Source organism: Homo sapiens, chromosome 13, assembly GCF_000001405.40.
Source record: "Homo sapiens chromosome 13, GRCh38.p14 Primary Assembly".
In the NCBI taxonomy this organism is placed as follows: Eukaryota; Metazoa; Chordata; class Mammalia; order Primates; family Hominidae; genus Homo; species Homo sapiens.
The window spans coordinates 18,926,875-18,945,444 of NC_000013.11; positions in this window are offsets into that span (position 1 = coordinate 18,926,875).

Here is an 18,570-nt window from a genome sequence, read left to right on the forward strand (position 1 = left end):
ATCAAGTTTTTCATGGACATTTTTGTTATTGAGAAATAATTTTAATTTATCAGATCCTCAAAGCAAATTATATAGGTGCCATTATTAACAGATTTTTTAAAAAAACCTGATTCATAGAAAAGGTTAATGATATGGTTTGGATCTTTGACCCCATCAAATCTCATGTTGAATTGCAATCCCCAGTGCTGGAAGTGGGGCCTGGTGGGAGCTGATTAAATTATGGAGGTGGAGTTCTCGTGAATGGTATAGCACCATTCCTTTGGTGCTGTCTTGTGGTTGAGTTTTCATGACATTTGGTTGTTTAAAAGTTTGTGGCATCTTTCCCATCTCTCTCTTGCTCTTCCTGCAGCCAGGTGAAGGGCTGTTCCCCCTTTGCCTTCTGCCATGATTGTAAATTTCCTGAGGCCTCCCCAAAAGCTGAGCAGGTGTCAGCATCATGCTTCCTTAACAGCCAATGGAATTACGAGTCAATTAAATCTATTTTCCTTATAAATTACAAGTCTTCAGTTTTTCTTCATAGCAGTGAGGAAATGAACTAATTCAGCTAGTAAATGACAAATGCCATAAAAATAGCAAATAGCACAAGAAGATATCCAACCAAGACTAGGGGACTCCAGAACCTAAGGATTTCTGAAAGCATAGGTTTTTAAGAGTGTGAAGAAACTAAGCCTGGGACACATTTAGGAACTCAATTACATAAGAAATAAAAATCATATATAGACTATTTAAATTTAGAAGAGGAGGAGGAGAGAAGAAAGATAAGGAAGAGGAGGAGGAGGAAGAAGAAGACATTCTGGCTTAGCACATTTACTCTAGTCTATAGGGAAAGCTCAGTTATACCCGTTCCCCACTAACCCTAAGAGGAGCTCTAATGTTCATAAGGGGCTTTCTCAAGGACTCAAATAAATCCTCAGGGATACAAAACGATGGGATACCAAGCAGTAGAGTTGTGTGTGTGTGTGTGTGTGTGTGTGTGTGTGTGTGTGTGTGTGTGTTAGACAAATAGATGAAAAATTTTATTTTCTTTTGAGACATAATCATTTTGTTTGGAGTCTCTCTCTTTTTCTCTCGATTCTCTTTCTCTCCCTCTGTCTTTCTTTTTCTTTCTCACTTTCCCTTTGCAATACTAGTGAAGTAAGACAAAATGAAATGAGCATGGGATCTTTCTCTAGCTTGATAGATCGTTTGTTATTATTTGTTTCTTCATTACAAACTTCCCTGTTAAACTTTCATGGCTTAAAACAAAATACTATATCTTGTTCCTGAAACTGAACTTTGGGCAGGGCCCAGTGTGAAGGTCTCATCTCTGTCTATGTCAATCAGGTCAGCTGAGGAAATTCAACTGGGGCTCCAGGCATAATTTTCAAGACAGCTCACAGATGTCACCAATGTGACATAATAAATGACACCAATTATTATTTAAGAGAAATTGAAAAGGCTTTTAAAAATGGCTTGTCTCTAGCTTCATCCATGTCCCTACAGCAAACTGTCACAAGGACAAAAAATCAAACACCGCTTGTTCTCACTCATAGGTGCGAATTGAACAATGAGAACATTTGGACACAGGAAGGGGAACATTACACACCGGGGCCTGTTGTGGGGTGGGGGGAGCGGGGAGGGATAGCATTAGGAGATATACCCAATGTAAGTGACGAGTTAATGGGTGCAGCACACCAACATGGCACATGTATACATATGTAATAAACCTGCATGTTGTGCACATGTACCCTAGAACTTAAAGTATAATAAAAAAAAAAAAACGGCTTGTCTCTATTTACCATCCTAGGATTCTTAACACTGTGGATGACCTCCTTTTCTAAAGAAATTTTTTCCTTTTTGATTTATTGAATGTTTTATTCTAATTTCTCTACCTCTTTGACTGCTTCTCTCTCTCTACTTGTAAACAGTTGTCTTTCAAGGCAAGGTCATGGTTTTGATGTCTTATATTCCACCAAGAAAACAAAAAGTGGTGGCTTCAATAATTGCCTTTAGTCACAGGAGCCTGAGTCCTGGACTCAGACTTCCTGGAATTGAATCTCTCTCTCCAGGTACTCGGTGTCTCCATACCTCAGTTTTCTTATAGGTAAAAATCTGGTGTATTAGTCAGGTTTCTCTAGGGCAACAGGACTAAGAGGATAGATGTAGATATGAAAGGGAGTTTATTAAGGAATACTGACTCATATGATCACAAGGTGAAGTCCCACAAAAGGCTGTCTGTAAGCTGAGGAGCAAGGAAGCCAGACCGTGTCCCAAAACCTCCAAAGTAGGGAAGCCAACAGTGCAATCTTCAGTCTGTGGCCAAAGGCCCCTGACAAAGCACTGGAGTAAGTCCAAGAGTCCAAAACCTGAAGAACTTGGAGTCTGATGTCCAAGGGCAGGAGGTATCCAGCACGAGAGAAAGGTGGAGGCCAGAAATCTCAGGCAGTCTAATCTTTCCATGTTCCTCTGCCTATTTTTATCCTAGCTGCACTGGAAGCTGAGTAGGTGTTGCCCACCCAGATTAAGGGTGGATCTGCCTCTCCTAGCCCATTGACTCAAACATTAATCTCCCTTGGCAACACCTTCACAGACACACCCAGGAACAATAATTTTCATTCTTCAATATGATCAAGTTCATACTCAATATTAACCACCACATTTAGGAAATTATACTGCCTTGCTCATAGGGACATTATAAGGATTAAAATGTGAAAATAGGCTTAAAACATCTGGCACATTATATATTAAGCACTTATTAACATGGGCTGTTTACTTCGGCCCTGACCTGAACGATTCTTCTCAACCATTTTTCTTGTTCCTGTTCTTCTTGCTCAATTTAATATTTTCTCCTGATTTCCAGAGAGTAATTAGTAGTTAAAAATAAAGACTTAGTGATTAAAAGTCAATATCACATTTTAAGAAGAGTACCATTTAAGAAACGAGAAGACAATGTAGGCCTGGAGGCACGAATATTTAATTGATGGCTGCTGTGGTAATTTGGGCATGAAATGTGGACAGCCTGAGGTAAGGAAATGGTGATAGGCATGATAGAGAGCTTTTGGAAACAGAGCGCATATAAGACTGACTGTATGTATAAGTAGCATGGTTTATAGTGATTGAAATACTGAATGAATTGTTTGGTAACTCAATACAGAGAATAGAGATTGGTGACTGGTAATGAGTGTTACAATAAAAGCAGTGATGAGTTCAGTTTTGGATATCCTCATGGCGAGCTGTCTTTAAGAAATTCAATTAGAGCTACACAATGCATATATGTATATACATATACTGGTCTTAAACTCAAAAAGGAGATGTGTGATCTGTAGATACACATTTACTGGCTATTAGCCCATGAATATGCATAAGATCACTTAAGGAGAGTTTGGAGAGTAAGAAGAAAATTGAGCTCAGAAGAGAATGCTATGTGACACTAACTGTAAATGATGTATGGAAGAATGACATGAAGAAGAGTCTACAAAAGTAATTGAGAAAGAATGCTCAGAAATGTAAAAAAAAATCTTGAGACACTAGTGTCACAGGAGCTATGGATGACTGCATTTTGAGAGTGAAAATGTGAAGCAATCTAACAGTAGTATATACCATAAAGAGAAGACTCCCACTTGAATTTGTTCCTGAGATTTAGCAAACTAGAGGACACTGGAAATTTCCTAACAGCACTTTTCACTTGAATAGTTGAATTGGAAGCCATACTACCATGAGTTTTAAGACAGTGGGAATAGAAATGTGAAATGGGAAGAGGAAAATACAATTTGGAACATTGGTGTGAAGGAGAACAATGGTGTAGCTGCAGTAGGTTGCAGGTATGTATAAAGATTAAATAAAAATTGTTATGTGTGTTCATTTGTTTTCTGAGCTCATGGAAATGTAGAGATGCTTACTTTGGACAGGAAAGAAATAGAGTGGGAAATTTGGCATCCCAGATAGGGTAGTGGATGATCTATGAAGCAAAATCCATGATAATGGAAGAGATGGGAAAACATGCCTCCCCATTTTTTCCTGTGAAAGACTGAACATTAGATTTGGGAAAAATGTGACACATCCCTGGAAATGAAAGAGGATAGAACATAAAGATCAATACAAATCCAGATGGATGTACAGATTGAGACAAGGAGAAAGAGAGAAGTGAAGACCTCCCTTCTGATTTACCACTCATATGACGACTACTGTCCTCCTTCTGTTCCTTTATGGTCTTTTTCTTCTCTTGTTTTACTCCTCCTTTTATTATTCTTTTAAACAAGCATAAAATATTTGGTATTGAAACACAGCACATTTCCAAGAACACAAAATTATAATTGGATTTTGGATTTCCACACTGCAAAATAAAATAATGTTATATTATTTTTGAGATATCAGTAGAGAAAATATTATAATGAATCAAAGACTGGGCTGAAGAAACCTTTGGCAGAAAGAAATTGAAAACATATATTTTCTTGGATACATAATATTTTCTTCAATCATATAAAAGACAAAAAATAAACCAAAAAGACAAAACCCAGTACCTATTGTCTCCATTTGGCCATAGCCAGGTTTATACCACAGTGCCTAACCCCCATCACCTGGGAATCTGACACCTGCATTCTTGATTGAAATGATTACCTATAGCATCCTCATTCTTTATTTTTGGAGGTTATTATGATATTCATTTTTTAGTAAAAACTTGCAGCTATCATTTGTTTGATAATTGAGCAACTATTTCAATCTTTTGTTAGAACTCTGCTGTTTTGAGGTTTTATTCTGAAAATAAAATGACCTGGAATGTTTTCATTTTAGTTTGGATGGGAAAAAACAAAGTGAATACCATGGTAAATATGTCCATTGCAATTCTAAATTACCTAATTTTAATCCCATATGTTCTGAGGATAGTAAAAGAAAAGCACTGATGAAAAACAATTGTAAGACATTTTACACACCATTAAGAAATAAATAAATTACTTTAGGGCCCATGTAATACTCTTTTGGAATTTTGTTTTATCTGAATAAGTTTCAGGCCAAGTCTCTTTAGTTAACGTCATTATCTTTAATTCTGCATTAAAGAGAATTACACTGATATTTTTTACATTTGTGGTCTTTTTTCTCCACTCTTTGTGAATGCTATTTTTAACTTTTGCTACTTCTACACTCTGAAAGTCCAGAAAGAACATAACTTTGCATGAAGGCAAACAAACTTTATGCATCTTCTGGGCCACCTCTCCCAGAAGGGTGATTTAGTAAATTCATCCCTTGCACCAAATGTTAAACCTCTATTTAGGCAACTGTTAGCAGAACAAATAAAATGCATTTTGTTATTCCATATAATGCTAGGTATTAACAAACTATATTATGTTTGTAGAACTATCTGAAGGCAACTAATATATGTATAAAATGTGTTAAATATTATCTAGGGCTACTAAATGAGATGTTTAATGTTGTAGATATCATGATTCATCAAATTATTTGGTTATTTTTGCTGTGGGAAATAATTTAAATATGTATTCATAAAATTTTTTCAAAGATTTTTCAGGATTAAATAATCACTTCAAACAAATTAGAATGAGATGTTTTGAGAGTACTATGAATTGAGTCAATATTCATTTCAATCACTTTCTAATACAATTTTATTTAATAAAAATGTGGTAAACTAAAAACAAATGAACAAATTATTAATAGATACATAGATGAACACATACATACATACATACATACATAGATAATTACCATTTTCAGATTCCTTTGCAGATGGACTCCCATACAGCTGTGGTTCCTCTAAGTAGTTATAACTACATCGAATCAGAGGAAGGAAGCGAGCAATCAGAGGAAGCAACTATATTGAGGAGTGTTGGCTTCTTTAGAAAGCAGGCAGCACCGTTTCAGTGGGTATTCAGGTCTTGTTTTCAGGTCTAGTGGAAGTCCTAGCATATAATTATTAAAATCCTTAGTGCTTAGAACTATAAAAAATAGGTTGGGGCTTTCATTTAAAGATAACTAAATATGACTGAGCTTTTTCTTAACTTCTGTTGTTGCTGTCCTTCTTGGAGATTCTCCCAGCTCTCTAAGACTCTAATAAATCTTCCTATTTAAGCGAAACACACAGATTAGTAATGAAAGGGACACTGATATAGGTTAAAAACTACACTTGTATAGAAAGAGTGCCCCAATTTGGTACCTAGCGATACGGGGGTGGAGCAGAGGAAGGCCAGCTCCTAGAAGGAGAGGAAGAACTAAGTAGGTGGGGAGAGAGAAAGAGCGAGAACCTCAGAGAAAGCCTGGGAGGAAGCTGTGGGGAGTGAATGTAATAGCAAGAGTCCCAGAAATGTCAATGAATCTTTCCAAATACTTAACATTAACGGTGCTATTCATAAAAGTACGCTGCCTTGAAATGCAGTATCCCATGCGATTAGATCTTACTGTAGCAGCCGCAGATACCAGCTAGATCACTTCTATTGTCCATTACCACCTATGATGATTAACATTGAGTGTCAATTTGATTGGATTGAAGGATATGAAGTATTGTTCCTGGGTGTGTCTGTGAGGGTGTTGCCAAAGGAGATTAACATTTTAGTCAGTGGACTGGGGAAGGCAGATGCACCCTCAATCTGGGTGGGCATCACCTAATCAGCTGCCAGTGTGGCCAGAATAAAAGCAGACAGAAGAACCTGGAGAAACTAGACTGGCTTAGTTTCCCAGCCTCCATCTTTCTCCCTGCTGGATCCTTCCTGTCCTCGGATATCGGACTCCAAGTTATTCGGCTTTGGGACTCTTGGACCTTCAACCACAGACTGAAGGCTGCACTGTCAGCTTTTTAAAGAGACTGTGGGTGGAAGGGAGAAATAATTGCATTGATGATGTTTTTGCAGGCTATCGTGTGATAATTTTATTTAGCAGCTGCTGTCTCTCAAAATATTGTATGATGTTAGAAATAATGGGTCATGTATATTCCTAGATCAAGAAATCGATTCCAATATATGTTATCAAAGATGATTCTGTCTTGAATTTGAACAGCAGACCAGGGACACTGGCTTCCTTATTATTGGAAATAAATGGAAATGTAGAAAAATATTAATATGTTTCTAAAATGTATGTTTAAGTATATAATTTTTCCAAGAATATCTATACATAAATGTATTTGAATAAATGCAATTAACAACATATTTTCATATATATTTGCATATTACAATACATATATAAGCTTATTTCTAGTTAATATATAGTATAGAGCAATTACATTTTAAAGTTTTAATTCTATGATTAGATTCATTTAACAAAACTATAACGCTGATGCTGCTGATAAACGCTATTTGAGTTGACTTAAGCATATGAGGAGAGAAATAAATTAGATTTTTGGCAAGAATTGCTCTCTGTTTCCTAACAACAGCTTGCTCAGTTTAATTCCTAACAAGGTCATCATCCAATCCTCTGTAAATTTGAAATTTAAGTTTTAAGAGTCAGGAACAGATGTGATGTGTTAATTGCAAACTTGCTTGTTTTGTGAGTTGATAGTCTCAGGTTGAATTGTTTATTCATCTATTAACAATTTAACTAAATGGAGATCATTATGTTTATTTTTCACTTGGTCAGTTACAAATTATTTATTATTTTTTTTTTTGAGATGGACAGAGTCTCATTCTGTCGCCCAGGCTGGGGTGGAGTGGCACGATCTCGGCTTACTGTAACCTCTGCCTCCCGGGTTCAAGGGATTCCCGTCCCAGCCTCCCAAGTAGCTGGGATTACAGGTGCCTGCTACCACACCTGGCTAATTTTTGTATTTTTAGTAGAGACGGGGTTTCACCATGTTGGCCATGCTGGTCTCCAATTCCTGACCTCAGGAGATACACCCGCCTTGGCCTTCCAAAGTGCTGGGATTACAGGCGTGAGCCACTGCGGCCAGCCAGTTAAAACTTACTTCCCTGTTCCTACGAGGTAGTGTTTATTATGCTATGAGATAACCTCCATGGGGCTGTGTGAAGAGCAATTTAAACACCAGGGAGGGATCCAATTTTATCCTTTCTTCAGCTCCAATGTCTCACACAGTTTTATTAATAAGAAGCAATCATCAACATAAAAAGGCAGGCTGATCAGAGGCCCCCTCCTGTTGTCTTCCTCTTTGTCTTGTCTCACCTCCACCTCTTTGTCTTCATTCCTTTAGTGATTCCCTAAGGTCCACAAAGAACGCAAGAGGCAGCAATGAAAGCTGTGCTAAGTGACAATGTGGCCAAGACATAAGCAGAGTAGATGCTCATAGAAGGCACCAATTCAAGAGGAAGCCCGCTGCTCATAGTGATACTTCCCTGCCCACGTTTCTGTACACTTGGGCAGTGCAGCACCTCTTCTATAGTGTCTCTTATTTTTCACTTCTTGACACACGGTCGCATTGTTGTTGTTGTTGTTTTGACAACAGGTTTAGCCTTGGGACTTGCTTCTAAATGTAAGCAGCAGTGATTTGTGAAGTGTGACAAACTGGGACTCAATTCTCCATGTTGTCTTGTTAGTTATGACCTTGAAAGCTTTTTTCCACATGGATCTTCAAATAGATACAGTGAGTAAAGTCTTCTAGTAACTTGCATGGCCATGTAAAAGAAATAACCTTTCACTGGATTAAACCAGTGATAATATGTGAAAGCTATAAGAAGTATCCTAGGTGAAAAGTGTATATTCACGTCAGACATGAGATAAATGCTCAATAAATGTGTTTTCTCACTCATAATCCAAGCAACATATTTCATTTCAAAGCAAGAGAGGACTTTAGACAGCAATTCTAGCTCTTAAACTTTAGTTTCCTATATAAAATGGGAAAGATCAATTTTTAAAATTCTATTTTTAATAACTTTCAGGAATATCAATATTTTGTGAACATTCTGTTCTAATGTTAAAACACTGACAGAAACTATGATGCTTAGCTTCAGTTCCATTTGATTTTATTTAAGCTGCCGCATTTCAAAAAGCAAAACTTGAATTTTCCATGCACTGAATTCTGTTGAATCCATGATAATTAAATGACGTGTAGGCTCCGTATTTAGGCATTATAAGTAATCTAGAGATAATTTAAAGTATACGGGAGCATACTCATAGGTTATATGCAAATATTGCAGCATTTTATATAAGATGTTTGGACATTTGCCAGTCTTGTTATCTGATGAGGGTCCTGGAATCAATCACCCATGAACACTGAAGGTCAGCTGTAGTTTTTTTTCCTATAACACACACACACACACACACACACACACACACACACACACACACACACACACACCCACACACCATAGTTAAGGCATGCTCATCCTTAAAACTTCAGTTCAAACATTAAATTTTTTCTTATTCAGATCACCATCGTGTCTCAATTTAGACAGCCTCTCTCTACTGTCCATAATGACCTGTCATGTATTTTCTAGTATTTGTCACGTATCATAGTACTCATTGCTTTTATTTTTCTTTTTTTTAGAACGAGGCTGTTTGCTCCTCTGAGCAGCCTCAATGACTCATTCATTACTGTATTCCCATTGCCTAACACATATCTGACAAATACTAAAAGCACAATAGATGCCAGTTAAATGAATGGTAAATATAAATTAATATAAATAAATAAATTTTTCTTAAATTATCTGTTGCTTCTCAAGTTTCCTTTTCAGATTATCAATTTATTTAACAAATATTTCTTGAATGTTTACTATCTATAAAACGTGGAGCAAGAGAATGTAAAACATTTTTTTGGAATAAAATTAATTTATGGTATGTAAAATTAAATTAGTAATTAAATAAATTATATTAATTTATTTTTATATTCTATCAATTAACATTTGTTGGGTATTTCTGTGTGTGGTATCCTTTTTTAAATTGAAAAAAAGAAAACAATGCTCCAATTAGGACATAGAAGGCCTTGTGATACTCAATAAACTGAATACTATTGGAATTCACAATGGTCAATAAAGGAATTCCTTTGTCTTTAGTTATGGTCTAGGGCTATGCTGGTGTGTTTATGCTTATAATCAAATAGTGTGCAGCCTTTAAATATAGAGGGTGTGTCCCTATGGTTTATGTCACACTTTTGATGGAAAAAAATTAATCAGGGACACTTGGATTCTATTCTTGTGCTTTGCAGTGTTGGCAGCCTTCCAAGATTGGACAGATAATGTTCTCATTAAGCTGGTGGATGAGATTATCTTCCAAGCCATTGATAAAGTTTATGACAATAGTGGGCCTGAGAACTGACCCCAGTGGGACAGCTCTCAATATGCAACCCTAGTTTGTCCCATAATCATTGATCATCACCTATGGGTATGACCTTTACACCAGTTATACATTGACCTTACAAAATATTCCAAATTTCTTCATGAAAAATGTCATGTGAGTCTGTATCAGAGGACTTACTAGGATCCAGATCTATTAAAAGTCTTGCCTTTTTTTTAACCATCATTATCACAAAAATATTACATTGTTCTGGGGTGACTTTCATAAAATCATATTAAGTTATGGTTGACACCAGTGGTCTTTAAAACTATTTGGTAGCTAATAATTTTATGATTATAAGTAGTAGCAATCCAAATATTAAAATTCGGTGGACTAATCTTTACTTTTCTTTTTTTCCTTTTCGTTAGAGACAGTGTTTTGCTCTGTAGCCCAGGCTGGAGTGCAGTGGTGTGATCCTAGCTCACTGTAACCTCTAACTGCTGGGCTCAAGTGATCCTCCACCTTATCCTCTCGAGTAGCTGTGATTATAGGTATGAGCTGCCGAGATTGGCTATTTTTTTTTTTTTTTTTTGTAGAAATGCGGTCTATTTTGCCCAGGCTCGTCAGTTTTTTAAATATATTATTTTAAATTCTATACTTTATTTTTCTATTGTTACATGTCCATCCCATATCCTCGTAACTTCCTAAACCTCTTGTTTTGTCCGCCTGCCTTTGCCTGTTGTTCCTTCCTCAATATTGCCCCTGTGCTGGATCAGAATTACCTCAGTCCTGCTCTCATCAAAATCACCTGATTTGTGTGTGTCCCGTTATTCACATATTAACTTCCCTTTGAAATGCTTGTTATTTTGAGAATAAAAACAATTCTACATCCAAAGTGCCTAGCAAAGAGACCAGAATAGCGTGGGCACTTAATCAGTAAATAAATCCTGTAGGGTTTTATTCTTAGACTTTTCCTAGAATATCACTTTTTTTTTTGCCTTTCCCCAAAACACTATGTCTGGTTGATAATGTGCTCCCCAGGAATTCATAGTAACAGAAAGAAAGCTTTTGCACATTCTTTGCTCACTGCAAGTGGCCAGATGCAGTTATTTCATCCTCTTCTTCAGTTTATCTTGACAGAATTTGCTTTCTGTCCGTTAATACAGTCATTTACTGAGCTCCCCCAGACATTCTTCCTTTTTCCTCAGTGATTTCAGCACCTGGTCTACATTTTCACCCTCTGCCTTGCCTTCTGCAAAGTTTATGACTATACGGTACAATTCAATCACTTCACAGTTTTTCCACCTCCATGACTCCAGTAATTTAATTTTTATCAGCCATAAGCATAACCATATAACCCTCCAAGTTCACAGACACTGAAATGTTGTATTTTCTCATAGGTGACATGCTCTTACTTTGCATCTGACCATGCTAATCTAAGTATTACATTTAGAAAGTAATTTTGGAGATACTCTAACATGAAGAGTGTTCAAAAGGGCTTCAACGATCATTTTGCAATCAGACAAGCTGCAGTGGGAAGAAGATTTGACTGGAAGGACCTTAACGAAAGTTCAAATGCCAGTGAGAGCTTTAAAACTGCCTTCAGATAGCGTTTTTTGACTCCTTATCTAACTCCCATCCTAATCTCTACACCCAGTGACTGCAAACTTATTTCCCTGAAATTTAATTCAATTTCACACATATTTATTGAGCATATTTTATTTATGAGAAATAGTTCTAGGAACTTGGTATAAATCAGTGAGCAAACAGATAAAGCTGCCTTCCATTTTGCCACTTAGATCCTTTGCTTGAATTCTCTCGCAAATGTATCCTATATTGTCTTGTATATATTATTGATAATTTCATGAGATTTCTGTGCTCAACAGAATCTTACATCTAGACAAATTATTTTCTAGTTTATGTAAAGATTTAAATCTGTTTTCTGTGTGTGGACAGGTTAAATAAGATAATGTTTGGGGTGCCTTGGATGATGACTAACATGTAGTAAGCATCATGCCTGTAATCCCAGCACTTTGGCAGGCTGAGGTGGGAAGATTGCTTGAGGCCAAGTGAGACCAGTGGCCAACATAGTGAGACTGCCTTTCTACATTAAAAAAAAAAAAAATTTTCCTTACCATGACTAGCATTGGTATTTTAGAGATTGTGGTAAAGTACTGCATTTAAAATTATAAGTGCTCAGCCAGGCATGGTGGCTCACGGCTGTAATCCCAGCACTTCGGGAGGCCAAGGCGGGCAGATCACAAGGTCAGGGGTTCAAGACCAGCCTGACCAACATGGTGAAGCCTCATCTCTACTAAAAATGCAAAAATTAGCCAGGCGTGGTGATGTGTGTCTGTAATTCCTGCTACTCAGGAGGCTGAGGAGGATAATTGCTTGAACCTGGGAGGTGAAGGTTGCAGTGAGCCGAGATCGTGCCACTGCACTCCAGCCTGAGTGACAAAGTGAGACTCTGTCTCAAAAAAAAAAAAAAAAAAAAAATTATAAGTGCTCAATGATGTGTAAATATTTGTTTTACAATACTTTTGCATGGTACTTCCCTACTGAATAATAAGCTCCCTGGAGTCAAGGATTGTCTCTCTTATGCAATCTCTGTTTAATTTGTGTGATTTCCTATGTTGATGACACATCATTGACATTCAAAGTGTTATTTGCTAAATTAAATTTAGTTAAAACACTATAATTTCATCTTAATTAAATTCTAGGTTTTTCTTTATTCTCAAAGTTTTCCAAAATATTTTTTAACACCTACCATTTTCAGTATAAAGAAAAAACCCCAAGGAACTAAATTATAAGATACTGTGAATCTAAATATTACTAGGGTTAGAAAAATGTCAAATTTCACTCTTCTATTAAGAAAGTTGCATTTGATTTTCTAATTATAATTGAGATTTACTTCGAGGATAGACAAATTATGATACATATGAAAGTTTTAGCTCTGCTTATTGAAATGAAATGTGGAGCATCTTATTCTCTAATCCTGGATTTTAATTGAAGGAGAGGCAAATCTGAGAAATGTACACATAAGAGGCCATGATGAGCAGGTTTTTTACAAACAATCTAGTTTGAGGACAGTGAAATGTAGCTTCCAACATTTCCATAGCCCAGATTTTCTATATTTGGTATGCTAATGAATAATCAAATCACAATCAGTATGCATTTTAAGCCACAATGCAAGTACTGAACTTAATTTGGTGATGTAAATACATGATAATAATTATGGAAATTTTCTTGGGTGAAGGGCAGCAAATGTTAGCACAACTAATGCTGTCCTTATTTGTGAGGTTCTAACTGCCTCAATCTGTCAAAAGCTGCTAAGGAAGCTGCCATGCTGTCTTTTTCATTTTCATTGCTAAAAAACTGGAAAAGAACACTCTTTGTAAATGAGCTAACCTACTTTTACAAAGTCATTTGCAGTCCTTTGCTATGTTTTTCTAGATAACTTTATGATAACTTTATAACTGTGGGCTCAGTCTGTCTTGCATCAGTACTTCTAGGACATCAATATGAATATTTAGAAGTGTCTTACATATGAATCATAAATCATTTTAATAAACAATCTGATGGCCACTGTTGCATATGACTATTCTTTAGGTTTGCTGCAACATGGTAATTGAGCTTTTCTTTTGAAAGTGTGAGATTAGTTTTTCAACACTAACTGATGACAATAGCCTGTCTCTGAAGGAGTTAAACCTAGCTGCTAAGGCAGGCAGTGTTTTATCTATGTAAGAGCCATTTACTGCACTGTCTTCCACCTTGAATTAGAGGTGGGCAAGGTAATCTTATCAACAGTTCGAAGCAAATCCATTTTTGGATTTCGAATTATGAGATGGCACTATATATTGCAGAGTGGTCTCTCTCGCATTATTTCAAGTTATTTCCACAATTCTATAAAGTAGATTAGATGTTTGTTAGATGAGAATTGTTAGATGAGAAAACTGAGACATATATAGTTAAATCACCTTAGTCATTTGCCTTAAGAGACAAGCTCTCAAATTATTTTCTTCATTTTTAGTCAGAAAGTTATATTATTTCCAAAGGATAATATTAATATGTACTCTAATATAAAATATATTACAAAGTTTAAGCATTAGAGAACTACATAATGCAGGAAGAGAAAGACCCACATAATCACCTTCCCCTTCCAATAACTGTTTTCAGTTCCCTTTCTTCCTTTTTCTACACATAATATCTATATATATTTTCATTTTTTACTATTTACAAAAATGCAATAATAATGGATTCTATTCTCTACATACTATCTAAAATTTGTTAGAATTTTTTCTCTGCTTAGTAATAAGGGGAAAAATAATATTTCTCTGTGATTGTTTTTGTACATTTATTTGGATTATTTTAAGTTTTTATTACTAATAAAAATGTTGTAATAAGAATTCTTGTTTATAGTTTTTTGCTCTCAGGTAAACTTTTGTTTAATTTACAAAATGTAGTATGTATCAATAAGTAACATGTAGTTGAATAATTACATATGTATTTCATTCAATGCACTATGTGAAATATATTATTTCATTAAATTCCTGACAATACACAGGAATTATTGACTAAATGTCAGAAGATGATTTAAAAAATTAAGGTAACATTTTTCTAAATTTAATCTGTGAAAATACCTTTACAACTTTTTTGAAGGAAATTGGTCAATCTGTGTGTATTTAACTGTTTAGTAAACCAAGTAAAAACATATTTATCAGGTATTCACAATGGAAAACATGTAAGCTAATCCCTTGTGGAGGAAGGGAAGACAAGGAGAAATGAGTTATTCAATCTCTGTTATGCTCCAATCATTGTGTGAGACTTTTTTTTTACTGCTGTTCTGTAATCTACAAACCATTATGTACATTATGAATTACTATTAATTTTGTTATATAATCTGATGCTTCAAATGGTAAAATAAATAAATAAACACATAAATAAAACCCAAGTTTACAAAGTTTGTAAGTGGTAAAGTTGAGATTTGAACCAAATATTTGATCCTAAGGTTAAAACTATTCTTATTTCACCATATTGCATGTGATATGATGCAAAGATATGAAATGTTTTGTGAATAAACAGTCTATTATCCACTTTGCTTGTAAAGGGCATATCTATACAGAGAGATATAGATATGATATATTGTTTCTTATAATAGTGGGGTTTCATGAATTTAATTACACATTTTTTTCCTGTAAAAATAAATCTAATTCAGCTGATTGATTTTTTTCCATGGGTAACATTAAGGTAAAAGTGTCAGTGTTGCAAACTTGGACAGAGACATCATTTTAGAACCCAAAAATTAAGTTTCTGTAAAAATGTAAAAGTAAAAATGTAATCTCTTTAATAAGTCTAGGTTCTAAGTCATTACTACTAACGTTGTGGAGAATGTCAACATGAACATTAAACACTTTGCAGAGCAAAACAATTGAGGATTTGCCAAGAATTAGAGCAACATGATGAAACATAACTTTAATTTTTGAAGACAAAAATTACTCGAGTTTATTACAAATAGCTCAGAGTGGTTAAAGAGGACTCCTATCATATTCTGATAAATTTTAAATCATCAGTTCAGCTCCTCCATATTCAGTACAATCCCCTCTTTATTGTAAGTGCATCTGCCCTTACAATCACAGTGGCTGCTTTTTCTACCACACTTTGAAATAGCCAGTAAATATCGAGAATTTATATTTACACAGAGAGATCATCTATGAAATCTTACATGTATTTATTTCATCTTAAGAAATAGTATAACAGTTGATCAAATGTTGCATAAACTCCTCCAGGACAGTAAACTGCACGTTCCTATTAAGTGAAATAAACTATCCCAGATGCCAGAATCCCACTGGGGGAAGTTTTCTGTGAAAGCATGCATTCGTCGCAAAGACACGGACAACTTATTCCCCAGGAAATATTCATTTACTATGACATCAGGGTTTTTATCGTACACCTGAAAATTTATTAGAATAAAACAGTGTATTTAAAGAAACTTACCCTAGCAATCATAACGCAGAAGCAGTTAATGACAGGTATCTTTTTTAAAAAGGCATTGAATGTCATTAAAGCAAGTCACATGACTGTGATTGTGACTAAATTGTGTAGCCATCAGTAATCCTTTTCTTTCAGTTTTAGGGACGTGCTATTATACATTGAAAGCAAAGGGGTCATTGCCTTGTAAAGTCTGCCTGAATCATCGTTTCTTAGGGGTTGCCGGAAAGGCATTGGCCTCTGCGGGAGAACCCCAGCCTCCTCCTGGGGCCTCTCCGCTTTTTTCCCCAGATGCCCCAACGTCCCCCTGCAAGCCTGGCGTCCTGTCCCTGTCCCATGGGGAACTTCTTGCCGCTTTGGGGTGCCGCCCGTGGGGGAGACACGCACCCTGGGTGCAAGTCAGGGACTCCACAACCCTCCCGGCCCTGCGCAGGGGCTTCCGGGAAGGCACTACCATCTGTGGAACCACCACAGCCGCCTCCTCGGCCTCGCTGTTGTTTTCCCTGGGCTGCCTCAACATACCCCCGCAAGCCTGGCATCCCGTCCCCGTGACCCGGGGGACTTCTTGCCGCTTTGGAGGGCCCCCGGTGGGGGGAGACACAGGGTGAAGCCGGGGACTCCACGACCCCCTGGGCCCCACGCAGGGGCTGCAGGGAAGGCACTGGCCTCTGAGGGATGATCCCAGCCTCCTCGGCCTCACCGCTTTTTCCCCCGGCTACCTCAACCTCCCCCTGCAAGCCTGGCGTCCTGTACCCGTGACCCAGGGGACTTCTTGCCACTTTGGGGTGCCGCCCATGTGGGAGACACGCACCCTGGGTGCTAGCCAGCGACTCCAGGACACGCCGGGCCGGGCGCAGGAGCTGCCGGAAAAGCAATGGCGTCCGCGGGATGACCCCTTCCTCCTCCTGGGCCTCGCCGCTTTTTTCCACCTGCTGCATCAACATCCGCCTGCAAGCCTGGCATCCTATTCCCCTGCCCCGGGGGACTTCTTGCCGCTTTGGGGTGTCCCCTGTGGGGGAGACGCGCACTCTTGAGTGCAAGCCAGGGACTCCAGGACCTTCACGGGCCGGGGAAGGGACTGCCGGGAAGGCACTAGCCTCCGCGGGACGACCCCAGACTCCTCCTCGGACTCACCACTTTTTTCACCGCATTGCCTCAACGTTCCCCTGCAAGCCTGGCGTCCTGTCCCCGTGTCCCGGGGCACTTCTTGCCGCTTTGCGGTGCCCACGGTGGTGTAGACACGCACCCTTGGTGCAAGCCAGGGACTCCACGAACCCCCGGGCCCGGCGCAGGGGCAGCCGGGAAGGCACTGGCCTCCGCGGGAAGACGCCAGCCTCCTCCTCGGCCTCCCCGCTTTTTTCCCTGGCCTGCCTCAACGTCCCCATGCAAGCCTTGTTTCCTGTCCCAGTGCCCCGGGGAACTTCTTGCTACTTTGGGGTGCCCCCCGTGAGGGAGACCCTGGGTGCAAGCCACGGACTCCATGACCCCCGCGTGCAGGTGCTGCCGGGAGGCACTGGCCTCAGAGGACCCCAGCCTCCTCATCCTTACCCCTTTTGTCCCCGGGCTGTCTCAACGTCACTCTGCAAGCTTGGTGTTTGTCCCCATGCCCCGGGGGACTTCTTGCCCCATTGGGGTGCCCTCCGTGTCGGAGACCCCACCCTGGGTGCAAGCTGGGGACTCCACGATGCCTCTCCAGTGGCACAGGGGCTCCCACGATGGCACTGGCCAACTCGTGATGACCACAGCCTCCTTCTAGGCCTTGCCGCTTGTTTCCCCGGCGTGCCTCAACGTCTCCCTGCAAGCCTGGCGTCCTGTCCCTGAGCCCCGGGGGGACTTTTTGCTGCTTTCAGGTGCCCCCCATGGGGAAGACAGGCACTCTGGGTGCAAGCCAGGGACTCCACGACCATCCCCCACCCAGCCAGGGCCGGTGCAGGAGTGGCCAGGAGGGCACTGGCCTACTCGGGATGACCACAGCCGCCTCCTCGGCCTCGCGCTTGTTTCGCCGGGCTGCCTCGACGTCCCCCTGCAAGCCTGGCGTCCTGTTCCCGTGCCCCGGGGCACTTTTTGCCACTTTCAGGTGCCCCCCCACCGTGTTGGAGACACGCACCCTGGGTGCAAGCCAGGGACTCCACAACCCCCCTGGGCCCGTGGGAGGATCATTTGAGCCTGGGAGATCGAGGCTGCAGTGAGCTATGATCATGCCACTGAACTCCAGCCTAGGCAAGACAGCGAGACCTTACCTAAAAAAAAAAAAAAAAAAGGAAGAAACATTGGTCATTTGTGATGGATATCTGTAGCTTTGCTTTCCCAAAATCTATTTTCCTTTCTTTGGGTCCCTGATTTGCCTGCAGGCACCACAACTGCAGCATTGTCTGTAACTCAGGAAGAACTGTCCTTACCATTGGCTACAGTAGTAAAGATAGCTGATCAGTATTTTGT